The sequence below is a fragment of the Homo sapiens genome, chromosome 9 (genome assembly GCF_000001405.40).
Source record: "Homo sapiens chromosome 9, GRCh38.p14 Primary Assembly".
Lineage (NCBI taxonomy): Eukaryota > Metazoa > Chordata > Mammalia > Primates > Hominidae > Homo > Homo sapiens.
In genome coordinates this window covers 119,625,837-119,650,651 of record NC_000009.12, presented here as the reverse complement: position 1 = coordinate 119,650,651, position 24,815 = coordinate 119,625,837, and the positions used below count along the sequence as shown (strand labels likewise).

Sequence of the window (24,815 nt, the reverse complement as noted above, 5' to 3'; positions counted from 1 at the left end):
CTCTGCCATTCCAGTTCTCTCTCCTGGAAATTTGGAACTGGGATACAGATGAGTCAGTGAGATAAGGATCAGCAGGTACTTGTCCACTGGGCAACTCAGACTGCCATCTGTGCTAAGTCCATGATGAATGTGGCACAAGTGAAAGACTTGGCCAAGGAATATGGGCTCATGAAGAGAAGAATGCAGCAAACAAGCAGAAAGAAACAGACATGAAAAACCAAGTGGCCTTGGAGAGAAAATGAGAAAATACATGTCCTACTTTCTGGCTCTGAGAGTCAGATGCACTTCCTGTTCCTGAGCAAAGGAAAGAACCCTACAAAGTTTTCCAACACTTTTCATTGCTCTCTTGTTTTACTTATGCTAGTTACCGTGCTGCTGCTAAGGTGTTCTCTTTTTAATAAATATTCACATATGCTCTTATACTCTTAATAAACTTTCATTTTAATAAATAACATAAATGATTTACATTATCTATAAATAACATATATGTTATTTATATATTTCAAGGACATATCTAGCATATATCCCTGAAAAACTAGCTTAAGAAAACATGGTCTAATTTCGTAACTCCGTTAGAATCATGGGAAGCCAAAATCATAATAACCATTTTACAGACAAGGAATTTGAGACTCAAAGAGGTCAAGTGACTTCTCCAAGGTTATACAGCTGTAGAAAGCTGAAAGGAAGGCTTAAATCCAGTTGTTCAGACCCTTTACCATCTTGACAGCTGACTGAGAGAAAAATTGTGGAAGACTCCTGAGATCTGGCCGTGTGATGTGCTTCCAGAGGAGTGAGCGAATGAGGCACGGGGAGACAGCGTGTAAGAATGACAGTGGGCCACTTTATTTTCTACCCGGAGAGATTCAGAGATATTGTAATCAAGGGAAAAGTTATCACCACATCATTTGGGACTATCAGAAAAATTGTGAAAGACTTTAAAAAGGGCAAAAAGGTTATTGGAGGTTCTGCCTAGTCTACTCTTTTGGCTTATAGATATTGTCTTTATGTTGGGTTATATTTCATTGTGATTGAGCTATCTTACCACTTCATAAGTCAAGGAAAACTAATATTAATGCAAATGATGATTGTCCTCTAGGAATGCAAATGTGTCCAGTGGAAGATATGATTGAATACTGCTCTCTGGATATTGATCAATTTTGCACCTATTTGTAAATCTATGTCAGCCTCCTGGTTGCCTATGTATGTTCCTTAAATTCTCCCTTTAGTGGTTTGCAACATCTTATTGGTTCCCTCATTAATTCATGAGTTAAATAAAATATTGACATGTGTTCATTTCATATTTATGTGAAAGTCATGGTTTTATCTTTTGTTAAAATTGTTCTTAAATAGGACAGATCTGCCTACTGCATTATACAATAAACCCAACTAGGTATAAGCAACTGTTACAGGGGAATAATCAAAAGCTATCCTTGGTTTCACAGATGCAATCAGACCAGAAAGAACAACAAACCCAACTAGGTATAAGCAACTGTTACAGGGGAATAATCAAAAGCTATCCTTGGTTTCACAGATGCAATCAGACCAGAAAGAACCCCATGCACTAGATGGAAGGGAGCGAAAAATTAGAGCTATGAGAGACAAGAAAGAAAGGCTTCCCTTTCTGCTTCCAGGAGCTGGTTATGGAGCAGCAAATGCTACAGCTGCTTTAGTGACAGCTGAGCAGCCTGAGGAGGCAGCATGAGGGAGTGGACAATGTGACCAGGAGACTGGAGAGCTGAGATCTTGGTCCAACTCTGCCATTAACCAGCTGTGTGACCTTGGGCAACTCACTTAACCCTTCTGTCTGCCCATCTGCAAAATGAGAGGCCAGAACCAAATTATCTCCAAGGTCCATTCCAACACTAACTGGCTATGGTTTTGTGACTCTAAAGACACTAGGTGGTCATGGCTCAATGCCTCCTGAGCAATTCTTAGCTCTGAAATTAGCAGGCTTGTGGTAGAAGCCAAGGACTCGATGGTCTGTGGAATCTGGAATGAACTTCTCCCTTGTAAGCTTTTCTTCCATCAAAAATAATGGTCTCTGGCTAGGAGAAGAATATTGGATGGGAAACACTGAACCATCCATGTGAAAGAACTCAAACTAAAGAAATAGACTTTTTACAGGATATATTTTTAAATCACTTCAGCCTACTGTAATAGAGAATATATTTTAATTGCTTCACAAAATAAAATTGAAAGCCATAAGTTGAGAAAAAAAAAAACCAATGCTTTTGAGAGGTTTTGCTATTCACTGTTTACTTTTACCTAAGTTTACCTAGAATCATCCCCCCACAATTCCCAGAGTTTAACTAGAGTTTGGATTACTTTTTTTTTTTTTTTTTTTGAGATGGAGTCTGGCTCTGTCGCCCAGGCTGGAGTGCAGTGGCGCGATCTTGGCTCACTGCAAGCTCCACCTCCCGGGTTCCCGCCATTCTCCTGCCCCAGCCTCCCGAGTAGCTGGGACCACAGGCACCTGCCATCATGCCCAGCTAATTTTTTGTATTTTTAGTAGAGATGGCATTTCATCTTGCTAGCCAGGATGGTCTCATTCTGCTGACCTCGTGACCCGCCTTTAATATGACAAGGGATTAAGCACCAGTTGAAGAGCTGGATAAGATGTCCTCTAATGCCCCCTATACCACACCTAACCCAAGTATTATGATTAGAAATAGTTCCTCCTTGTTTCCTCTTTTATCTCACCTTCAATTCCAGTGGCTGTGCATTGAGCTTGGAATATAGAGACTTTTGTTCGGAAAGTCACTTCTTTCTAGGACTTATTCTTGTACCTGTAGAATGAGGGTGTTGGCTTTGATATGATTAAGGCCCTCTAAGTTCTGAACTTTGTTAGCACCTACAGTGTGCCAATGGTCTGACAGGAGGGCAGAAAACAGAACTTAAGGACAAGATTCTTGACTTCATGGAGTTTAATTTCCCAGGATCACTTCTGCCCATTGATTTGTGCCTGTGAATTCAAAAGGATTTTATTTGACCTTGGAATCTATTTGCATGTTTCTAGATTGCCTGGAAATTCTCCTTCCCCAATCCTCTGCAATTGTTTTTGAGATATGCAATTGATACATTTCTACAAATGTTTCCTACACATGACATCTAATTCTCCATGGTTCAAAATGGTATTCTATTCCATTTTGTGAAGATCAGTGGGGTGAAACCTTAGACTTTTCAGGGTATGAACAATAATAAAAGAATTTATAAAGTAACAACAAATATCTGGTTTTGTCTCAATCCGAAGTAGTAGCATGATTTTCATCAGATAACCTTATCATCCAATGTCACAAAGTAGCTAAACCCAGGAGGTCTGGAGTCAGCCAGAACAAGACCACAATTTATACTCCTCTCGTTACTAGCTATGTGACCTTGGGCCATTCCTTTACCTCTCTGAGCTTGTTTTCTCATCCTAGAGTTTTCTATGAATTAAATGAGAAAGTGCATGTAAAGCATTTAGCACAATATCTGGCTCACAATGAACACTCAATAAATGATAGCTATTATGAGAGTTAATAGCCAATAGCATGAAGAGTCACAAGTCACCAGAATGACTCTTTTTCCAACTAGTCATATTTTCAAAATATGTTGATCCTAGACAAACCATTTTACTCTTGTAGACTTCAGTTCCTCCATCTATAAAAATGAGGAGATAAATGAAGTGTTCTCCAAAAGTACACCTTTTAGGAAAAGTGTTCTATAATCATGAAAGCAAAGGGGTTTCATTACATTCATCACTTCTGTAAACTCCAACGGTTGATAAGTCAGTTTTCTGGGATGTCTTCTTAGAATAGCATAATGATTAAAAGCACAGATTCTGCATCTAAATTGCCTAAGTCTTCATCCCAGTTTCTAGTTTATTTACCACGTATGGCCTTAAGCAACTTACTCAATCTTGTTGTGCTTACGTTTTCTTATCTGCAAAATAAGAATAATACAAATACTTACCTCATAAGATTGTTGTGATTACTAACTGAATTAATCTATTAAAAGCTCCAGGTGTCTCACATGGAGTGAGTGCTATATAAGTGCTTATTTGTTGTTATTACATTGTTGTTGCTGCTGCTTCTATTTTGAAGGATTCTGAGGTCAATTCTGAATTCAAGAGAAACAAACACTGTGATTGGCTAGCTATGTCTAACAAAGACCTGGAAGAGGAAATGGCAACATATGTGATTGAAACAGGAAAGTGCTACCAGTAGGTCATTGGGTAGGTCATTAGCTCTGGAGGAGAAATGGTGTGACATGCTATACAAAAATTTGGCTTCATTGGAGGAGTTTGGAATCATTTGAGAGATTAGAACCAGGCTCATGAGGGAGAGGCAGAGAAGGAGAAGAGAGCTTTCTTTCTTTTTCTTTCTTTCTCTCTCTCTCCTTTTTTTTTTTTTTTTTTTTTTTTTTTTGCATCTCTGGTCTTGAATTACAAGTGGCAAGACATGGCATGTAAGGCAGGGCTGCACAGAGAGAAGCCTTTTGGGACAGAAAATATGGTAGAAATGGTTGCATCCTCAGGTCTTTCTGGAAATTTCCAAAATATATTGGAGCCCACTACAAGGCCTTATTTTTGACAGAGCCTTTTTCTATTCCAAACATGGAAAAGATTTAGCCTCTCAATTCACTAATTACCAAACTGGGTACAGTGGTGAGCTTAAAACTCCAATCCTAGTTCTGTGGCAGGAACAGTGGTGTGTTTTATTTTTTCCCATTTTCTTTCAAGGAAATGTGAATTCTAATTCTTATTTGTCACTTGCTGATAGTGTTAGGGTAAATTAAAAAAAGTTGTTCCTAAGTACTTGGTGAAACTTTGAATTTACAGTGAAGCTTCACTAATTTGGTCTTGTGTGTGTAGTTTGGGGGAGTGTAGTTTTTGGAGGAGGGCATTCAGAAGATGCGATGCTTTTAAACCCGCAACTTCAATAAAATTTTTTCAAATAGAATCCCTTTAGTGAGAATAACCATTAATGGAATACTTATTACAGTTCTCTGTGGTGTTTAATATTATTATTCCCATTTTTCAGATGAGGAGTGAGGGAATCAAGGCTCAGGAAAATCTCTAACTTTCTTAGGGTCTGTGTTAGTTACATATTGCTGCATGTAAAATGACCTCCAGACCTCAATAGCTTAATCGATACTCATTTATTATCTCTCATAAGTCTTCTCAGTTCAGTGGCTCTGCTGATCTGAGCAAGGCTCTACTAATCTTGGCTGTGCTCACTCATGCCTCTTCAGTTAAGATGGCAGGTCAGCTAGGAACTGGCTGGTCTAGGATGACCCCACTCACATGTCTGTCGTTGTCTGGCTGTCAGCTGGGTGATGAAGGTGACTGTCCCACAGTTTTCATCGTCTAGAAGGTGAGCCTAGGCTTGCCCTTATGTCAGTTGCAGGATTCAGTGCACATGTGTGCAGAGAGAGAGAGACAGAGAGAGGAAAAAGAGGAGGAAAAGGAGGAGGAGGGGGAGGAGCAGCAGGAGAACAGCCACTATCTACCTCAAGTTCTCCTGAGCCCTAGGCTTGGAACTGGTGCAGTGTTACTTCTACCACATTCTATTGGTAAGTTCAGATTTAAGGGAGTGGAGAAACAGACTCTTCCTATTGATGGGAGGAGCTACAAACATTACAAGGGCATAAATATAGTGGGAAGTGAAGACTTGCAGCATTTTTTGGTTTGTTTGTTTGTTTGTTTGTTTTGGTAATCTATCAAACACAAGTTTGTATCAAGAAAGTAAGAGTTAATCCCTGACTAAGGGTTACTCCAGAGCTTAAGCTTTTAACCAACCAGCTGTGTAGATTCAACACATTTGTAATTAGTATTGGAATTGCTGGCAGCCTTGTCTTCTTGGAAGGCTTCATCTCAAAGATTTTTATTTCAACTATGGAGGAGAGGGTTAACTGTTAGGTACAGCTACTATAGTATAAACAACTTTCTCACACTGATAGATTCTCTTCTATGTCTTTATTTTTCCAAAGTAAGAAAACAAAAACAAATACAATTGACAAGAATCCCTGTAGTCTGGCAGAGCTCCATGTAGGAGGACGTGTGACATATTAAACCAGGGTTCAGTCATCAGCATGGGAAGAAAAGGCACATGTGTCCTTTCAGTTGATCTCTGGATTGGGATACCAATTACCAATCGATCTTTAACTTCACCTGGTGAACGAGCCTGTCTTACACCAAAGTATTTACGAGAAAAAGAAGACACTGTTGCCAGAAAATGGCCTTATTCTTTTCTTACGGTGGAACTAGCCATTAGGAAGTACAGTGTGAGAGGCACAGGTGCCTCTACCATGGGAAACTCAGGGTTTTGGTGTCTTGTATGCAGGTGTTTTGTTCTTATAAAGATAATTTCAGTTTAATTATCTCATTTAATTTTTAAAAGCATTCTGCAGGGTACACAGAATAGAAATTAAGATTCCCTCAACAGTTGAGGAAACCGAGGCATGGGAAAAAGAAGGAGATTCCCAACATTGTAGCTTAGAGATGAGCTGAATAGAAGAAACTTGTAAACTTAGAAACTAGTTGGGTTTATTTTTTTTCTGACTCCATTACCTGGGGATAGAGACAAACGACCAATTCGCACTTGTTCTTGTGCCTGCGGAGGCAGCCGGGTGAATAACAGGCAGGTTAAAACACCCACATAGAAAAACCTTCAAACGAGAGGTTGCAAAATAGCAATCTATGAGCCATACCTTCCCTGCTGATATTGTATCTGAATCATGCAGTGTTGAAAAACAAATACTTTAAAAACATTTTGAAATTATGAGGTTTTCTATAAAAATCTGGATTTTGTATTCTCTTGAAAGATAAAATCTAGAAATACTGGGCTCACTCACATTCCTATATGTATGGTAACAACACAGCAGAGTGCAGAAAAGACAGACTTTGGGATGGCCATTCCCTCTGTAATTTCCATAGTCTCCATCTGGCCAGGTTTACCTTGTTCCCCATAGGCATTTATATTTACAGCCACTTTATCAAGTGACACTTACAAAACAAACAAACAAACAAACATAATCACACCTTGAGATTCCATTGTATTTTTGTAGGAACGTATTTCCTCATTCTGTAGTTGAGAACTTTTCCCTCCACCTTAATATGATAATTATCAGAGCAAATTAACTCACCTCTGAATAACAGGCTGCATGCTTCTTCATTCTGATCCCAGCCTGAGGTATTTGGAAGGGCTTCCTCTAAGAGACATGTATTAGTCTTTTCTTATGTTGCTATAAAGAACTACCTGAGGCTGGGCATGGTGGCTCGTGCCTGTAATCACAGCACTTTGGGAGGCCAAGGTGAGTGGATACCTTGAGGTCAAGAATTCGAGACTAGCCTGGCCAACATGGTGAAATCCCATCTCTACTAATAATACAAAAATCAGCCAGTGGTGGTGGCACATGCTTGTAGTCCCAGCTGCTCTGGAGGCTGGGGCACGAGAATCACTTGAACCCAGGAGGCAGAGGTTGCAGTCAGCCAAGATTGTGCCACTGTACTCCAGCCTGGGTGACAGAGTGAGACTCCATCTCAAAAACAAAACAAAACAAACAACAACAACAAACAAAACAAAACAAAAACTACCTGAGACTGGGTAATTTATGAAGAAAAGAGGTTTAATTGACTGGCAGTTCTGCAGGCTGTTATAGGAAGCATGGCTGGGAGGCCTCAAGAAGCTCGCAATCATGGCAGAAGGCAAAGGGAAAGCAAGCACATCTTAACATGATGAATCAGGAAAGAGAGTGAAGGGGGAAGTGCCACAGCCACACACTACCTGACTTCAAACTGTACTACAAGGCTACAGTAACCGAAACAGCATGGTACTGGTACTGAAACAGCATGGTACTGGTACCAAAACAGAGATACCGACCAATGGAATAGAACAGAGCCCTCAGAAATAATGCCGCATATCTACAACTATCTGATCTTTGACAAACCTGACAAAAACAAGAAATGAGGAAAGGATTCCCTATTTAATAAATGATGCTGGGAAAACTGGCTAGCCATATGTAGAAAGCTGAAAGTGGATCCCTTCCTTACACCTTATACAAAAATTAAATCAAGATGGATTAAAGACTTAAATGTTAGACCTAAAACCATAAAAACCCTAGAAGAAAACCTAGGCAATACCATTCAGGGCATAGGCATGGGAAAGGACTTCATGTCTAAAACATCAAAAGCAATGGCAACAAAAGCCAAAATTGACAAATGGAATCTAATTAAACTAAAGAGCTTCTGCACAGCAAAATAAACTACCATCAGAGTGAACAGGCAACCTACAGAATGGGAAAAAAATTTTGCCATCTGCTCATCTGACAAAGGGCTAATATTCAGAATCTACAATGAACTGAAACAAATTTACAAGAAAAAAACAAACAACCCCATCAAAAAGTGGGCGAAGGATATGAACAGACGCTTCTCAAAAGAAGACATTTATGCAGCCAAAAGACACATGAAAAAATGCTCATCATCACAGAGAAATGCAAATCAAAACCACAATGAGATACCATCTCATACCAGTTAGAATGGCAATCATTAAAAAGTCAGGAAACAACAGGTGCTGGAGAGGATGTGGAGAAATAGGAACACTTTTACACTGTTGGTGGGACTGTAAACTAGTTCAACCATTGTGGAAGTCAGTGTGGCAATTCCTCAGGGATCGAGAACTAGAAATACCATTTGACCCAGCCATCCCATTACTGGGTATATACCCAAAGGATTATAAATCATGCTGCTATAAAGACACATGCACACGTATGTTTATTGCAGCACTATTCACAATAGCAAAGACTTGGAACCAACCCAAATGTCCAACAAGGATAGACTGGATTAAGAAAATGTGGCACATATACACCATGGAATACTAAGCAGCCATAAAAAATTATGAGTTCATTTCCTTTGTAGGGACATGGATGAAGCTGGAAACCATCATTCTCAGCAAACTATCACAAGGACAAAAAGCCAAACACTGCATGTTCTCACTCATAGGTGGGAATTGAACAATGAGAACACATGGGCAGAGGAAGGGGAACATCACACACCAGGGCCTGTTGTGGGGTGGGGGGAGGGGGGAGGGATAGCATTAGGACATATACTTAATGTTAAATGATGAGTTAATTGGTGCAGCACACCAACATGGCACATGTATATATATGTAACAAACCTGCATGTTGTGCACATGTACTCTAAAACTTAAAGTATAATAAAAATTAAAAAACCCATCAGATCTTGTGAGAACTCACTCTCATGAGAACAGCAAATGGGAAATCCACTGCCATGATCCAATCACCTCCCACCAGTTCACTCCCCCAACATTGGGAATTACACTTCAACATGAAGTTTGGTGGGGACACAGAGCCAAACCATATCAAGACGTCTCCTGAACTAAGTCTTGAGAAGTAGGTAAGAGTTAGCTGTGTGAAGAAGAAAAGGCAAAGACATTCCAGGTAGACAATTATATGCTAAGCAAAAGCAGAGAGACTTGCAACAGACTGTGTATAAGAGGAAATCCAAGTCAGCTTCTTTTCCTGGAGGAAAAGAGTAGCAAGAATTGAGACCTGACAGATGAATGGTGTCTAAGTCACACAGGCCCTGTATGTCATGTGAGGAAAGGTGACAATTATTTTATAGACAATGGAAAAACAGTTAAGGGTATTTAGCAGAAAATGAATTTATCCAAACAGCTAAGGGTATTAAGCAGAAGATGAATTTGTCCACAGAATGACATGGATATTTGCATTTTAATAGATTATCTGGTGGCTATGTAAAGGATGAATTTAATGGCAGGCAAAACTGGAAGCAAGGAAACCATATCAAAAGTTACTGCAAGAATCCAAGTAACAGGTCATGAGGGACTCATTTGAGAAATCCTATAGGAAGTAAGACCAGCAAATCGAGAGATATATTATTTGGACATTTATTGAACACTAATTGTGTGTAGAATACTATGGGAGAAATTAACTGTTTAGTCCAACTTTCTATGTAATGCCTCAATTCCCAGTAAGTGGTTCCCCAATCTCTGATTGGATATTACCAATGGCAGGGAGCTAACGCCCTCATGCCATAGTCAATTCCTACTTTAGTTATTATAAACTACTTTCTTATATTGCTTCCTTATATTGAACGAAAATTTACCTCTCCTCTCCCCCAGATTTCTGGTTTTGTCCTCAAGCTGCAGTGACAAAAGTTAATCCCTATTCTGCATAATAGCGTTGCAGGTATTTGATGACAGAAATCATGTTTCTCAAAATTTCTGCCCTTTTCAGCTAAAAAGTTATTTAGTATTTTGTAGAATTCAATGCATCCTCCACCTGCCCCCAGAACACATGTTCAAATTCTACCCATTGTTTAAGTCTGGCTTCAGTGTCACCTCATTGCCTCTGTGTCATGTATCTATGGATAGATTCCAACTTCCAATGGGCTTCTTAAAATGTAGCACTCAGAATTGAACCTCATTTTTCTGAGTGGTCTAACCAGCACACATTTATTCGGACAGGCTCTCTTCTCTTCCATCTTTTGGGATACAATGCCATTACTAATTCACTTAATGATACAAAAGGCCAGAAGGTTCTGTTGAGATAGGATTGTACAGCAGGAGTGCTCAGCATCTGGTGCTGGAACCAGCAGCATCAGCATCATCTCAGAGCTTATTAAAAATGCAAATTCTCAGGCTCTCCCCTGATCCGATTCAGAATCTGTGGGAGATGGGCCCAGGAATCTGTGTTTTCAAAAGCTTTCAGAGTAATTCTTGCACATGCTAAAGTTTGAGATGCTGTAGAGGATCTTTAAGCATGTGTTTAAGGAGCTTTTAAAAGACCAGGTACTTATCTTTAAATAAATGCTTTGCCTTCTCTCAAATACAGGCTTAAGAACCTTTCTTAGGACCATGGACAGTGCCAGCATACGATGAACATTATTAAACGCTGGGGAAGGGAAACACCACGTGGCTAATTAAGTTTCACAATCCAGTGGTTGTGAGAAATATTTTTAAAAAAATAGAAAAAAATAAAAAAAGAAAGAAAGAAAAAGAAAACAATATGCCTTTGGTCAATCCATCACAAAGAGGACTGAGCTGCTGACCTTTTCATTCTGCCTGTGCTGTGTGCGCAGCAACTCTGTAACCTTTTCCAGCTGGAATAGAAAGTTCAATTAAGTTTGTTGGCTCAGAAATCTGCCCGTGTCCCGGAGAGCAGATTAGGCACTTAGGGGCTGCAATTATCCATCTGCTGCTTCTGCAAAACTGAAAAGAATGCACACGTGCCGTACCTATCTCTGGGCATATGCAGAGGCGGATATGTGCATATCTGTATGCATGTGCACACGCGGGGGCTACAGACAGGCAATGGCTGCAGCTGAGAAATTCAATCGTTTCCAAATTTGGGTTCTTTATGTATTGTTGGTGATGATTTTTTAAGTTAGACAAGAGCCTGATAGTTGGGACCTGCCCAATTCCTGGCCACCACATTCATCCTCCCTTTATAACTGAGTCTTCTGACCAACACCGTGGACCTTTCCCAGGTTTGAGGGCAGAGCATGGCCTTAGTCATGACTAGCGGCACTTACTGAAGCTGCTTTCGATATTCAGGTGACTAAATATCAAAGCCTACCTTGCTTGGGAAAGTAATATGTGTAGTGGTTAACAGTACTAGCTGCAGAAGTTGTGTCTGCATCTCAGCACAGCAATTTACAAACTGTGAAAACTTGAACATGTCTTTTTAACTCTCTGAGCTTCAGTTTCCTCATCTGTAAAATGGAGATAATAGTATTAACCTCACAAAATGGCTGCGAAGATTAAACAAGGCACATATTTCATTTTCTGGTACATAGTCTATTGAATAAATAATAGCTATGTTTCTAATGATATAATTGAGAGTTACTTTGAATTTAGGCTGTGGTTTGATAGGTGGATCTTTTTTTTTTTTATGACAGAGTCTTGCTCTGTCACCCAGGCTGGAGTGCAGTGGCATGGTCATAGCTCACTGCAGCCTTTATTTCCTGGGCTCAAGGGATCTTCCTGCATCAGCTGCCCCAGTAGCTAGGGCTATAGACATGTGCCACCATGCTCAGTTATTTTTAATTTTTTAGTTGAGATGGGAGTCTCACTACATTTTCCATGCTGGTCTCCAACTTCTGGCCTCAAACAATCCTCCCACCTTAGCCTCCCAAAGTGCTGGGATTACAGGTGTGAGCCACAGTGTCTGGCCACTGGGTCTTTAAATTTCTCCTCTAACACCTGTGTCCTATGTCTAGAAACTGGGGAACCATCTTCCCTTGCTTTGACAATATCTGTAGTGCCTCACTACCTCTAGGATTATGTCCTGTCTGTTCTCTTGTCATAATCTATGGTCTTCTCTAAATTTCACAACCATTATAGCACGTTCTAATGATTATTCTTAGAAGCCCAGGAAAGTGAGCTTTTAAAAATGTAAGTTAGATCTAATCACTTTCCTTAATCTCATTCTATTCCCAAGCATAAAGCTCTCCAATGGCCTTCCATAGTATTTAAATAAAATCCAGACTCCTTGCAGTGGACTATAATGCCCACTACAATCTGTCCCTTGCCTAACCTCATTTTGTATTTATTGACTTCTGGCTCACAATTCTCAGGATACAACAGCTTTATTTTCAGGCCCTTAAATATACCCAGATTCTTTTAGCCTCACGACTTTTGCACTGCTGTTTTGTCTGCCTGGGGTGCTCCTTCCCTGGGTCTTCCCCTAGACCTTAGCATCCATGGCTCTTTCTCACCATTTAGTGCCATCTCCTTGGAAGGTCTTCCTGGATTACCCTTTCTAAATTAATCCACAGCTGCCACCCCACCCTCCAGTCACTCTTTATCCAGATTCACAATTTATTTTCTTCATAGTTAACTTGTTATTGATTTGTTACATATTTATTATCTATCTCCTCACCACTAAATTATAGTCTTCATGAGAGGAGGGACTTGGTTTGTTCTGTTTTACACTTTGTCTCCAGTACTAGAAAAGTTCCCTACCTGCATAAAAGGTGGTCAATTTAGCATTTGTCAAATGAATAAATTAACAGGCCCAAGCCTAGGGCCTGGTGCCCTTCTTTGATGACATTTGCTTGGGTCATACATTGTTCTTCATTTCTGGATCCCATGTTGCTTGCTTGGCTCAGACACATCCCGCTTCTTCTTGGATCTCCCCAGTCCCGACCACCTCACTAATTCGTTTCTAGGTAATCAGCATCATGGTTCCTGAATACCATGTTTTGCGTGCTCTCTTCTTAACCACTTTTGCACATAGGTGTCTGTATGCCAAACACAAAGTCAACTCCAATTGGTACATCTGGAACAATATTCCTAATGAAGCCTAAAATTCTTAAGGAAGTGATATTTGCTTCTTGTCTACCCCTGCAGCCTCACCCTGCCCCATGCTGCCTGAGATATTGAATATATAAATGGAAAATGGCCAGACCGCATTTGGCAGTTGTATTAGTCCATTTTCATGCTGCTGATAAAGACATACCCAAGACTGGGTAATTTATAAAGAAAAAGAGGTTTAATGGACTCACAGTTCCATGTGGCTGGAGAGGCCTCACAATCATGGCGGAAGGCAAAAGGCATGTCTTGCATGGTGGCAGGCAAGAGAGAGAATGAGAGCCAAACTAAAGAAGAAACATCTTATAAAACCATCAGATCTCATGAGACTTATTTACTACCACAAGAACTCTATGGGGTGAAACCGCCCCATGATTCAATAATCTCCCACCAGGCCACTCCCACAACACATGAGAATTATGGGAGCTAAAATTCCAGATGAGATTTGGGTGGGGACAAAGCCAAACCATATCAGCGGTAAAACTCTGACCCACAACCTCTGCAGCAATCAGCCCCAAATGGTCAGGATTTGGTTAATCCTTGCCACTTCCTTAATTTTTGCCCCAACTTCTAAGTCAAGACCAACCGTAGAAAGTCAAGCACTCTTCATAAACCAGTCATATAGGATGCCTGTTTCTACCTTTTTGAGCCAACAACCTCCACTCAGAGCACCTGAACCCTTCATTTTTTCCACTATAAGCCTCTCCCACTCCCCTGCCTGCTTTTGAGTCTGTCAAACACTAGTGATGTTGACTGACTTCCTTGCTATAGAAGGTTCTGAATAAAGAACCCCTGCCTCTTCTCATTTGGGTTGTCATTATTTATAAACACATGTATGGTCTAGGTATCTACTGCTGCAAAACCAATCATCCCAAAATGTAGTGGCTTAAAATACTCATTTTGCTCATAATTTTGATGTCAAGAATTTAAGAAGAGGTCAGCTAGGTGGCTTCTCTCTGAGCCATCTGGTATCAGCTGTGCCAGCTGAACCTGGAGGATGAACTTCCACCGTGGTTTCTTCTTGGTCATGGGTGAAGGCATGTCTGGTAATTCAGTGCGCTTTATCTTTCGTTTCACTCCATGATGTCTCATTCTTTGGGGTCCTAACATGTGATATTCTCAGGGGAGCCATACTTCTTGCATGGAAGCTGGCTTCCAAGCGACAAGAAGCATGTGCTGCCAGGCTAGTTAAGAGCTACACCTAAAATGGTCCATGGCCATATCCATCATATTTAATTGGTCAGATCAATCATGGGACCAACTGGGATTTTAGGGATGTGTGGTAATAGTCTCCATCTCTTAATGAGGGAGGGCAACACTGTATTATGGGAGAGCATGTGGGATGGGAGATATTGCTGTGGCTGTCTTTGAAAATACAATCTGTCGTGTTTCCCCTTCCTTTCTGTTTTCCAGCTACACTAGTATGACTTTGTTACCGCAAATACATGACGTTCAGGATCTTTGCACTGTTACTTCTGCCTAGAATGGCTTCTTTCCAAATCCTTGTCTAGTTATATTTAACTTCCACTGCAAATTTTAGCCACAATATCACTCCTTTCATATCCTTGGGGGAAATATTTCTTGATACTCCCCTTCAAACCCACACGCAGAAACTAAATCAGATCTCCCCAATTTTCTTTCTTAACAGCATTTGTCAAAGTTTCAAATTATGATCTTATACTATTCCTGAGTTAATCTCTATTTTTTCTCTTCCCCACGTGTGGATGGAAGCTTCAGGGGAGCAGGGTCTGAGCTTCTGCTCCTCAACATTTTACCCCAGTGCCAAGTAGAGTCCTTGACACATAGTAGGTGATTAATACATTTTTGTTAAATAAATCAGTGCCTGAACTTGCTGTTAGGGACTTGCGCCCATTGAAGAAGTCAGTTCATGGGCAAATTACACTTGCTTAATGATATCAAAATGTAAAGATTTTCAGCAATTATTGTTGTTCTCATTTAGTCCCTCCTGAATATTGACCAAGCATGCTAAAGGCTCCAGGTCAGTCTAATAGAGTGAAAATGGCCTTGACTTTGTCTTCAGGAAGACTTGGGCTTGAATTTCTATGCTTACTAACTGTGAAGTTAGGGGATTTATTTAACATTTTTGACCTTCCTAATTTCTCCATCTGTAAACTAGGAATAATAATATATAGCTTATAGATCTTCTTAAAGATTATGTTAGATAATAATCACATAATTGTTAGCATAATGCTTGATCTAATAATCACCCCCAAGGTTTAAACTTTACACAAACAATTGAAAATGGAAACTTTAGCATAATGCCTTACCCTTTTTCCTTGATATAGCCTATTGGCACTGGATGATGTAATTTTTGCTTATACATGGTATTTCATCTTTAGTCTGATTCTAGTGTACTTGTTAAAGTAAACTGGAAATATTTCACTATTAAACACTTTAAAAATTCAAACTGACTTATAAAATCAGCATAATTGATTTATTAACTAAGAAAAAAATTTAAAAATGGTCTTCTATGGCTATTTCAGCTATTAACTTATTCATTCACTCACTTTTTTTTATCATTGAGTAGAACAACAAAGAAAACATTTTGAAGGGGTTTCCTTATTTGAAGGGACTATAATATATTTTGGAAATAAGTGATGTTTAGGAAAACTAAGTTGTTTGGGAATAGTAGAGACAGAACTCTAAAAAATCTTCTGGCACCAGTGATTTACATTGCATCAGACTCCACAGACAGAATTTTATTACACACATGCCAGGGACTTTACATACATAACCTGCAAGCATGTTCCCATTTTAGAGAGGAGGAAACTGAGGGTCAGAGAGAAAACAGTGCACAAGCAGTAAATGGTGCAGCAAGAATTCGTATCCAATTTTGTGTTAGTATTAGCAGGTGCTCTTTCTCCTCTGAATCCTTTCATAGCTTTTTTCCAGCCATGAAGAGATAGGCAAAGCAATAGAGAGCTATCACAGCAGGGAAATTAATTTCAAGTTGCCTTAGTCATTGCTGTCAAACTCGAAAGCCCCGACATGGATTAGCAGCCTGTCCACTTCCTCCTCTGAGAGAAACTACCAGTCATGCTCGTGCGTGACCAGGGTGGCACCCCCAGAGCCTCTGCCAGCCCCGCCATCAGACAGGACGTGTCTGGGAAGAATAATTTGCAGCCAACTGCTCTGCCATTCAGGTCCCCATCTGTGTCAATTGAGTAATTTATGGACGCACTTTTTCCTGCACTGCAAAGGAGATGCACAGGACCTTTGGAAATAATTCAATCGCTTTTAAGGAAACACATTTGGGGAAATTATTGTTAATGCATCTGAGTAAGAGGTGCTCAACCCCAGCAAATATTTCATGCAATTATAGCAAAGATGAGACAGTGACAACCAGTGACCATCAATCATTCCCCAGATCAATAATAACCATGGAACATGAAATCAAACCTAATCAACACCCTGTGATGAAAGAACAGGGCCTCTTTTCTTTGCTCACAGGGTCAAAGTCCCTTGAAAGGATTGGCCTGGAGTCCTTGAGATTGTACAAAATGCAGAAATAAACATAAAAATATGGGCCTTAGTATTAAGCAAGCCTGGGTAAGACACTATAAATACTTGCTCTCAATATTGAACAAAATTATATAATATAGTAATTAACACTCACTGTACACTTTTTCTTGATACCATGCATTATGCTAAGAACTTAATCTATTCTCTCTCATTTAACTCAAATAATACATGTGTGGAGTATGCGCCAGTATGTCTTCTTTACGATGAGGAAACCAAATCTCAGAGATGGGCTTGCTTACTTAAGGTGACATTCACAGCAATTGACAGAACCAGTACTCAAATCCAGTCCTGTCTTACCAGAGATTTAGTAATTTTTATGTTGGTTGCACATTAGAATCACCTGGGGAGATTTTTGAAATAGTCACTGTCTGGTCTCCACCCACCTTACAGCATCCGAATCATCACCCTTTGAGGGTGAGGATTCGGCATGTATTATTTTAAGCAAACATTTTGATAAGTTGTAGCAGACATACAGAAAAGTGCACAATGATATGTGGCACAGCATATTGTCACAAAGTAAACACACACCCATGTAGCACACAGTTCAAGAAACAGAACATTATCAGCACCAGAAGCATGCTGGGGGCCCCTTGTACCCTTTTCCAATCACTACCACCTCATTCTGCCACAAGGATAATCGTTATCCTGATTTTAAACAGCAGATTTTTTTTTTTGAGATGAAGTCTCACTCTGTCACCCAGGCTGGGGTGTAGTGGACCGATCCTGGCTCACTGCAACCTCTGCTGCTTGGGTTCAAGAGATTCTCCTGCCTCAGTCTCCCAATAGCTGGGATTACAGGCATGTAGCTTGACGCCCTGCTAGTTTTTGTTGCTGTACTTTTAGTAGAGACGGGGTTTTGCCACATTGGCCACGCTAGTCTCAAACTCCTGACCTCAAATGATCTGCCCACCTCAGTATCCTAAAGTTCTGGGATTACAGGTATGAACAACAGGGGACTCAGAGCCCAAGAATGAGCAGGAGTTGCTCCTCCTGGGCCAGAGGTGCTGCTCTGTCCTCGCCATTTCTAGGAAATGATTCCTGCAAGTAACTGAATGACGGGCCAAAGGATTCCAGAATGTCGAATCTTACTCCTTAGAGTTATCCCTTTATCCTGGTCTCCTACTTGAGACTACCAATGGATGGGCCCAAAGGGGTGGCCAAAATAGCCACAACAATGATTAAAGAGTTGAAAGTAGAAAAAAATAAAAAACAGCAGAGATTTATTTTTCCTGTTTCTGAACTTTATATAAATGAAGTCATACAATCGGCATGCTTCAGTGTCTAGCTTCATGTATTTATGGGATTCATCAACATCGTGGAGCATATTAGGGATTTGTTCATTCTTGTTCCTATAGTGCATTTCATTGTCTGAATCTATTACAATTCTTTTAGCCAATCTGCTGTTGATGGACATCTTTCCCATTCTTGGCTATTATAAATTATGCTTCTACTAACATTCCTGTATCAATCTTTTGCTTATCAAAAGTGTTTTCCTTTCTGTTGAGTGTCTATTGAGGATTGGAATCGCTGGGTCACAAGCTATAAAAGTCTGTTCAGCCTTACTGAATCCAGGCATGTGTTCTTTTAAAAGTTCCCAGGTAATTCTAATGCACAGTGAGGGTTGAAAAATCCTGCGTAAGCATGTACCACTTCCTTTATATAGAATTTAATTGGTATTGCTTTATGGAACAACATAATAAAGTCATACTAAAGTTCTAGGTAGAATATTTTATCATCTTACTAAAGAGAGCCCCTTCTGCTCCCTCTAATCCTAAATCTTATTTCCCTGAACCAGGGCTTCCTAACTTTTTAATGTCTAAGCCTCAAAGGCTGGCTAGTCCTGGAAGAGAAAAGAGACTGGAAGCTTGTGTCTTTTATTCTTGGAAACAGGAAGATTTTTGTCATTGCAAAGGAGCGAATAAATCTAATAGTATCATTTTGGCATGGAAATCTTTTAGTCATTGAAGACCCATGAAAGGAACCAATGGTGTTAGGAGAGATAATAAATACACAAAGTGCTTAGTACAGAGGCTGGCCCTCAGTAAATGGTGTTGTAATTATGATTATGATTATTGCTATTATCAGTAGCAGCCACAGAAGTGAAAATATGCCAGCGTTGTGGTTTCTTCATGAAGCAGACCTGCTCAGTCATTTGTGAATACTCATACGTGTACTATGGGCCAGAATCCGTATATGGCACAATAAATTCAGGGAGGAACAAACCAAGCTGTCTTGAAGGCACTCACTGTCTACCATTGTCTAGAGGGTGAGGGTCAACTCCAACTTGATTTCACTCTACTTCTTGTATTGAGCTGCATCTCAGCTCGTTCTGCCCATGAGTGCCCTATGTGGTAGAGAAGGCTTGCTTAAAATGGTAGATGACTCAGAGAAAGTCCATCCCCACTGTTCCTGGAACATGGAAAAACAAATACCTGCTAAGCATGGGCCATGAGCCTTATTTCATGCCTGAAGGGATCTGCACACATAGATCTCCCCCAGACACTGCCTGCTTTTGTCAGGGTGCTTCTAGTCTCAAATGAGAGAATAACAAAATTTGGCTCAGGAAGAAGAGGGTGGAAGAGATTTTGGCTGAAAGTTTCTGCGCGCACAGGAGCCCAGGAGAAAACTGCACCACTAAGCCTCCAACAGGGGGAAGTAAGCAGCTCCAGGAATGAATGGGCCCATCTGTTTTGTCCTTTGATCTCTGTGTTTGCGTTTGGCTCTGACCGTCTATCTTTTTGTCTCTTTCTACCTCTCTCACATTCTCTGTATGTCATGGGTCCTCTTCATCTGTCTATGCCTTTGCTACTTTCTCCCCTCTCTTTTCCAGATTTCTGTCTTTACTCACAGTCTCTGCCTCAGAACTTCAGCTTGCACAGGCCTTTGGCTTGCTATGTCCTTAAATCGATCTCAATTTCGTATTAGGGTTTCTGGAATTCTAGTGTCCCTGTATATTTGCAATTTTCTTCTGAGACTCTTCATTCAAACTTCCAAAAGCATCTTATTGGCTCAATTAATTGTTTAGTGCTAGCCACTTGAATCACAGGTTGAATCACTGGCATATGGAAGGGTGTCCTCTGTGTTAGGGGCCTAACTCCAACATAATCTGCTCTAGCTAGAAGAGGGTTTCTTCATCTGATCTACAAACTGTTCAGTTACAAGATGGGCAATGCGTTTATATATGTTGTGTGCCATAGGCAATGAAACACAACTTAAAAACCTGTTAATCTTCAGAAACTTGAAATCTTTGAAACTTGCTTGGCCAGGGGCTCCTGAAAGCCAGAAATTTTGTTTTAGACCTCTTTGAATATCCAGCTATTTGTTCATTAGGCTCAATAAATATTTTTGAAATAAATTAGTTTACTTCTCTATACACTGCCTCTTTTATAAGTGTTGATTCTCTTCATGTCCCAAGACTAGGGTTTTGTTCTTTCACTTACTCATTCAACAGATATTTACTGAGCATCTACTTTGTACAGCACACTATTTTAGACACTTGAGATTTAACCATGGATAAAATAGGCTAAAACTCTGCCTTGTGGAACATAATAGTAACTACTAAGAAAAGTGATAAAGTAAGGTAATGGGATAGCGATGAGGAGAATTATTTATTTTTCAGCTTTTATTGAGGTATAATTGACAAAAATTATATCTATTTAAGGCATGCAATGTGTCTTTTCCAAGCTATTTTATACAAATAAAAAATTGTATATATTCAAGGTGTACAATATGATAGTTTGACATACATATGCAATATGTGCTAGTTACCACAATTAAAGTGATTAACACATCTTCCCTACATGTAATTATCATTGTGTATGTGTGTATGGTGGGGGGAGGAGGGTTGAGGACACTTAAGAACTGCTCTCTTAGCGTACTTCAAATAAACAATACATTATTAACTATAGTCACCATGCTTACATTAGATGCCCAGAACTTATTCATCTTATAAGTGAAAAAGTTTGTAACCTGTGACCAACATCTCCCCATTATCCTCACCCCCATTCCCTGACAACCACCATTCTATTTTCTATTTCTATGAGTTTTTTTAGAATCCACATATACATGAGATCATATAGTATTTGTTTTTCTGTGTCTGCCTTTATTTCACTTAGCATAATCTTGTCCAGGTTCATCCATGTTGTCACAAATGGCAGGATTTTCTTCTTTTTTAAGGTTGAATAATATTTTATTGTATATATATACCACACTTTACCTATTTGTTTGTCAATGGACACTAAAGTTGATTCCTTATCTTGCCTATTGTGAATAGTGCTGCAATGAACATGGGCTTGCCGGCTCCAGACCCTCTCAGTGGCATTCTAAGGGCAGTCCTGCCTGTTCAGGGCTCTTCCATGCCTCCAGTGCAGGCCCACCAAACCAACCTCTATTCCACTGTGGGTTTTGACGGGGCCCTGCAATCCCTCTTAATACTTTCCCATATACATTTATACACACACACAGGTACACACACGTATACACATTGTGAAATGATTACTGTAGTCAAGCTAATTAGCATATTCATTACCATGCATAGTTACACAACATTTGTGTGTATGTGTGTGTGTGTATTTAAGACCTACTCTCTTAGTAAATTTCAAGTATGCAATACAGTCTTAACTATAGTCACCATGATGTGTATTGGATCTCCAGAGCTTGTTCTCGCTGTATAGCTGAAACTTTCTACCCTTTGACCAACAGAGGGAGACTATTTTAGATAAGGTGATATGAAAAGCCTGGTTTGAAGAAATAATGTTAAGTAATTAATTGAATAAAAGTGGGGAACAGACTTGTACAAATTGAAGGAGAGAGCTTTCCATTCAGAAGGAACAAGCAGTAAGTAGGACGAGCTACCACATACAGGTCTGTAAGACAGCAAGATGGTGGGATAGCTGGGCTCTGATAGGGCCTCCAGTGATCCTTGCTTCGGGGTATATCTTCCCTTATATAGTCTCCTTCCATCCACCTTGATTCAGAGTTAGTCTGTGTGATCAATAGAGTATGGCAGAGGTGACAGTGTAACTTCCTTTAATAGGTAAGAAGAGGCACTGGCAATTCTGCCTAGGTGTCTTAGATCACTCACTCTGGGAGTAGTCAGTGCTATACATGGGAACACACAGGAGTCCTATAGAGAGGTCCTTGTGGAGAAGAACTGAGGCCTTTTGCCAACGGCTTGCATCAACTTGCTGGTCATGTGAGTGAGACACCCTACAAGTGGATATGCCAGCCCCTATCAAGCCTTCAGATGAAAGCAGCCTCTGTGGACAACTTGACTGCAACCTCGTGAGAGACCTTGAATTAGAACAGTTCAGCTAAGCTGCTCCCAAACTCCTGACCCACAGAAACTGTGAGAGATTATAAATATTTACAGTTTTGAGCCGCTAAGTTTTGCAATAATTGGTTATGCAGCAATAGATGGTAACTAAAGGCAGGCAGTGAATCTAGAACAGAGTGAGCTTTGGAAGAATGCTAAGAATTAGGTTAGAGAGGGAGCACATGTTAATATATACAGCTCTGTAGGTTATGATAAGGAATTTGAATTTATTCTGAATTTGATGGAAAACCATTGAAGGACTTTGCTCATAGAGGTGGCGTTAGGTTTTAAAAATATCATCCCAGACTACTGAATAGACAATCAAATGTGGGCACAAGAGTGCAGGCAGGGAGACCTGTTAGATGTCTATGTAGTTTGTCCAAGTGAAATGTGATAGTGACATGGACTTTTCAGGCTCTGTTTGAATGGTTGAATCGATGGAATTTTCCGATGGATTGGATGTGAGATGTGAGGAAGTAAAAGTCATGGTGAATTCAAGGTTTTTTTTTTTTTTTTTCTATCAGAAACTGGGAGCAAAAGATGCCATTGGTGGAGGCGAGGGTCACAGTGGTGGTGGTGGTAGTGGGGGCAGATTTGAAGGTTAGAGAATGTAATATTTAGAGATCAATAAGAAGAAGAGGAGCCATCCATGAAGACTGAGAAGGAATACCCTGGGAGGTAGGAAGAAAATCAGGGGAGTGCACAGTCCTAGGGGCCATGTGCACAGTCCTAGGGGACAGTGCTTAAAGAAGCAGGAGTGAATAACTACATGAGAGTGTTTTAGTAAGATGAGCTATGAAAACTAAGCCCCAAATTTGGCATAGTGAAGATTTTTGATAAACTTAGGGATAACGAACTGTCTTGCAGATACACTTATAAATTAATTAATCCCAAAGTATATTTTGCTAGGTTTTCTTTTCTGTGCTTTGAGAAAAGAAATGCAGCCACAACTATTAGTCCCTTGTCTGTCAAGTTTATGCAGTGATCTTCATTTTGTGAATCTCCTCCATATCAACTGACCTATCAATGGCAACTGAATCTTCACCCTTGGAGAATTGTAGTTACTAAGAACCTGTCTTGCATTGGAAGTTAAGAATCCTAAGTGTCCCTGGAGGAGCCAAGATGGCCGAATAGGAACAGCTCCGGTCTACAGCTCCCAGCGTGAGCGACGCAGAAGACGGGTGATTTCTGCATTTCCATCTGAGGTAGCGGGTGCATCTCACTAGGGAGTGCCAGACAGTGGGCGCAGGCCAGTGGGTGCGCGCACCGTGCGCGAGCCGAAGCAGGGCAAGGCATTGCCTCACCTGGGAAGCGCAAGGGGTCAGGGAGTTCCCTTTCCGAGTCAAAGAAAGGGGTGATGGACGCACCTGGAAAATCGGGTCACTCCCACCCGAATATTGCGCTTTTCAGACCGGCTTAAAAAACGGCGCACCACGAGACTATATCCCACACCTGGCTCGGAGGGTCCTATACGCCCACGGAATCTCGCTGATTGCTAGCACAGCAGTCTGAGATCAAACTGCAAGGCGGCAGCGAGGCTGGGGGAGGGGCGCCTGCCATTGCCCAGGCATGCTTAGGTAAACAAAGCAGCCGGGAAGCTCGAACTGGGTGGAGCCCACCACAGCTCAAGGAGGCCTGCCTGCCTCTGTAGGCTCCACCTCTGGGGGCAGGGCACAGAAAAAAAGACAGCAGTAACCTCTGCAGACTTAAATGTCCCTGTCTGACAGCTTTGAAGAGAGCAGTGGTTCTCCCAGCATGCAGCTGGAGATCTGAGAACCGGCAGACTGCCTCCTCAAGTGGGTCCCTGACCCCTGACCCCCGAGCAGCCTAACTGGGAGGCACCCCCCAGCAGAGGCACACTGACACCTCACACAGCAGGGTATTCCAACAGACCTGCAGCTGAGGGTCCTGTCTGTTAGAAGGAAAACTAACAAACGGAAAGGACATCCACACCGAAAACCCATCTGTACATCACCATCATCAAAGACCAAAAGTAGATAAAACCACAAAGATGGGGAAAAAACAGAACAGAAAAACTGGAAACTCTAAAACACAGAGCGTCTCTCCTCCTCCAAAGGAACGCAGTTCCTCACCAGCAACAGAACAAAGCTGGATGGAGAATGACTTTGACGAGCTGAGAGAAGAAGGCTTCAGACGATCAAATTACTCTGAGCTACGGGAGGACATTCAAACCAAAGGCAAAGAAGTTGAAAACTTTGAAAAAAATTTAGAAGAATGTATAACTAGAATAACCAATACAGAGAAGTGCTTAAAGGAGCTGATGGAGCTGAAAACCAAGGCTCGAGAACTACGTGAAGAATGCAGAAGTCTCAGGAGCCGATGCGATCAACTGGAAGAAAGGGTATCAGCAATGGAAGATGAAATGAATGAAATGAAGCGAGAAGGGAAGTTTAGAGAAAAAAGAATAAAAAGAAATGAGCAAAGCCTCCAAGAAATATGGGACTATGTGAAAAGAACAAATCTACGTCTGATTGGTGTACCAGAAAGTGATGGGGAGAATGGAACCAAGTTGGAAAACACTCTGCAGGATATTATCCAGGAGAACTTCCCCAATCTAGCAAGGCAGGCCAACGTTCAGATTCAGGAAATACAGAGAACGCCAC

The 24,815-nt window shown here is 40.7% G+C and overlaps 1 annotated feature.

Annotated features, from left to right (window-relative positions):
- Positions 23,568-24,207: an enhancer, noted in NCBI's record as "OCT4-NANOG-H3K27ac-H3K4me1 hESC enhancer chr9:122388723-122389362 (GRCh37/hg19 assembly coordinates)". NCBI's record gives its function as "activates a minimal SCP1, AML or CMV promoter by ChIP-STARR-seq in naive H9 embryonic stem cells {active_cell/tissue: H9 hESC(naive)}" and the evidence as "EXISTENCE:reporter gene assay evidence [ECO:0000049][PMID:30033119]".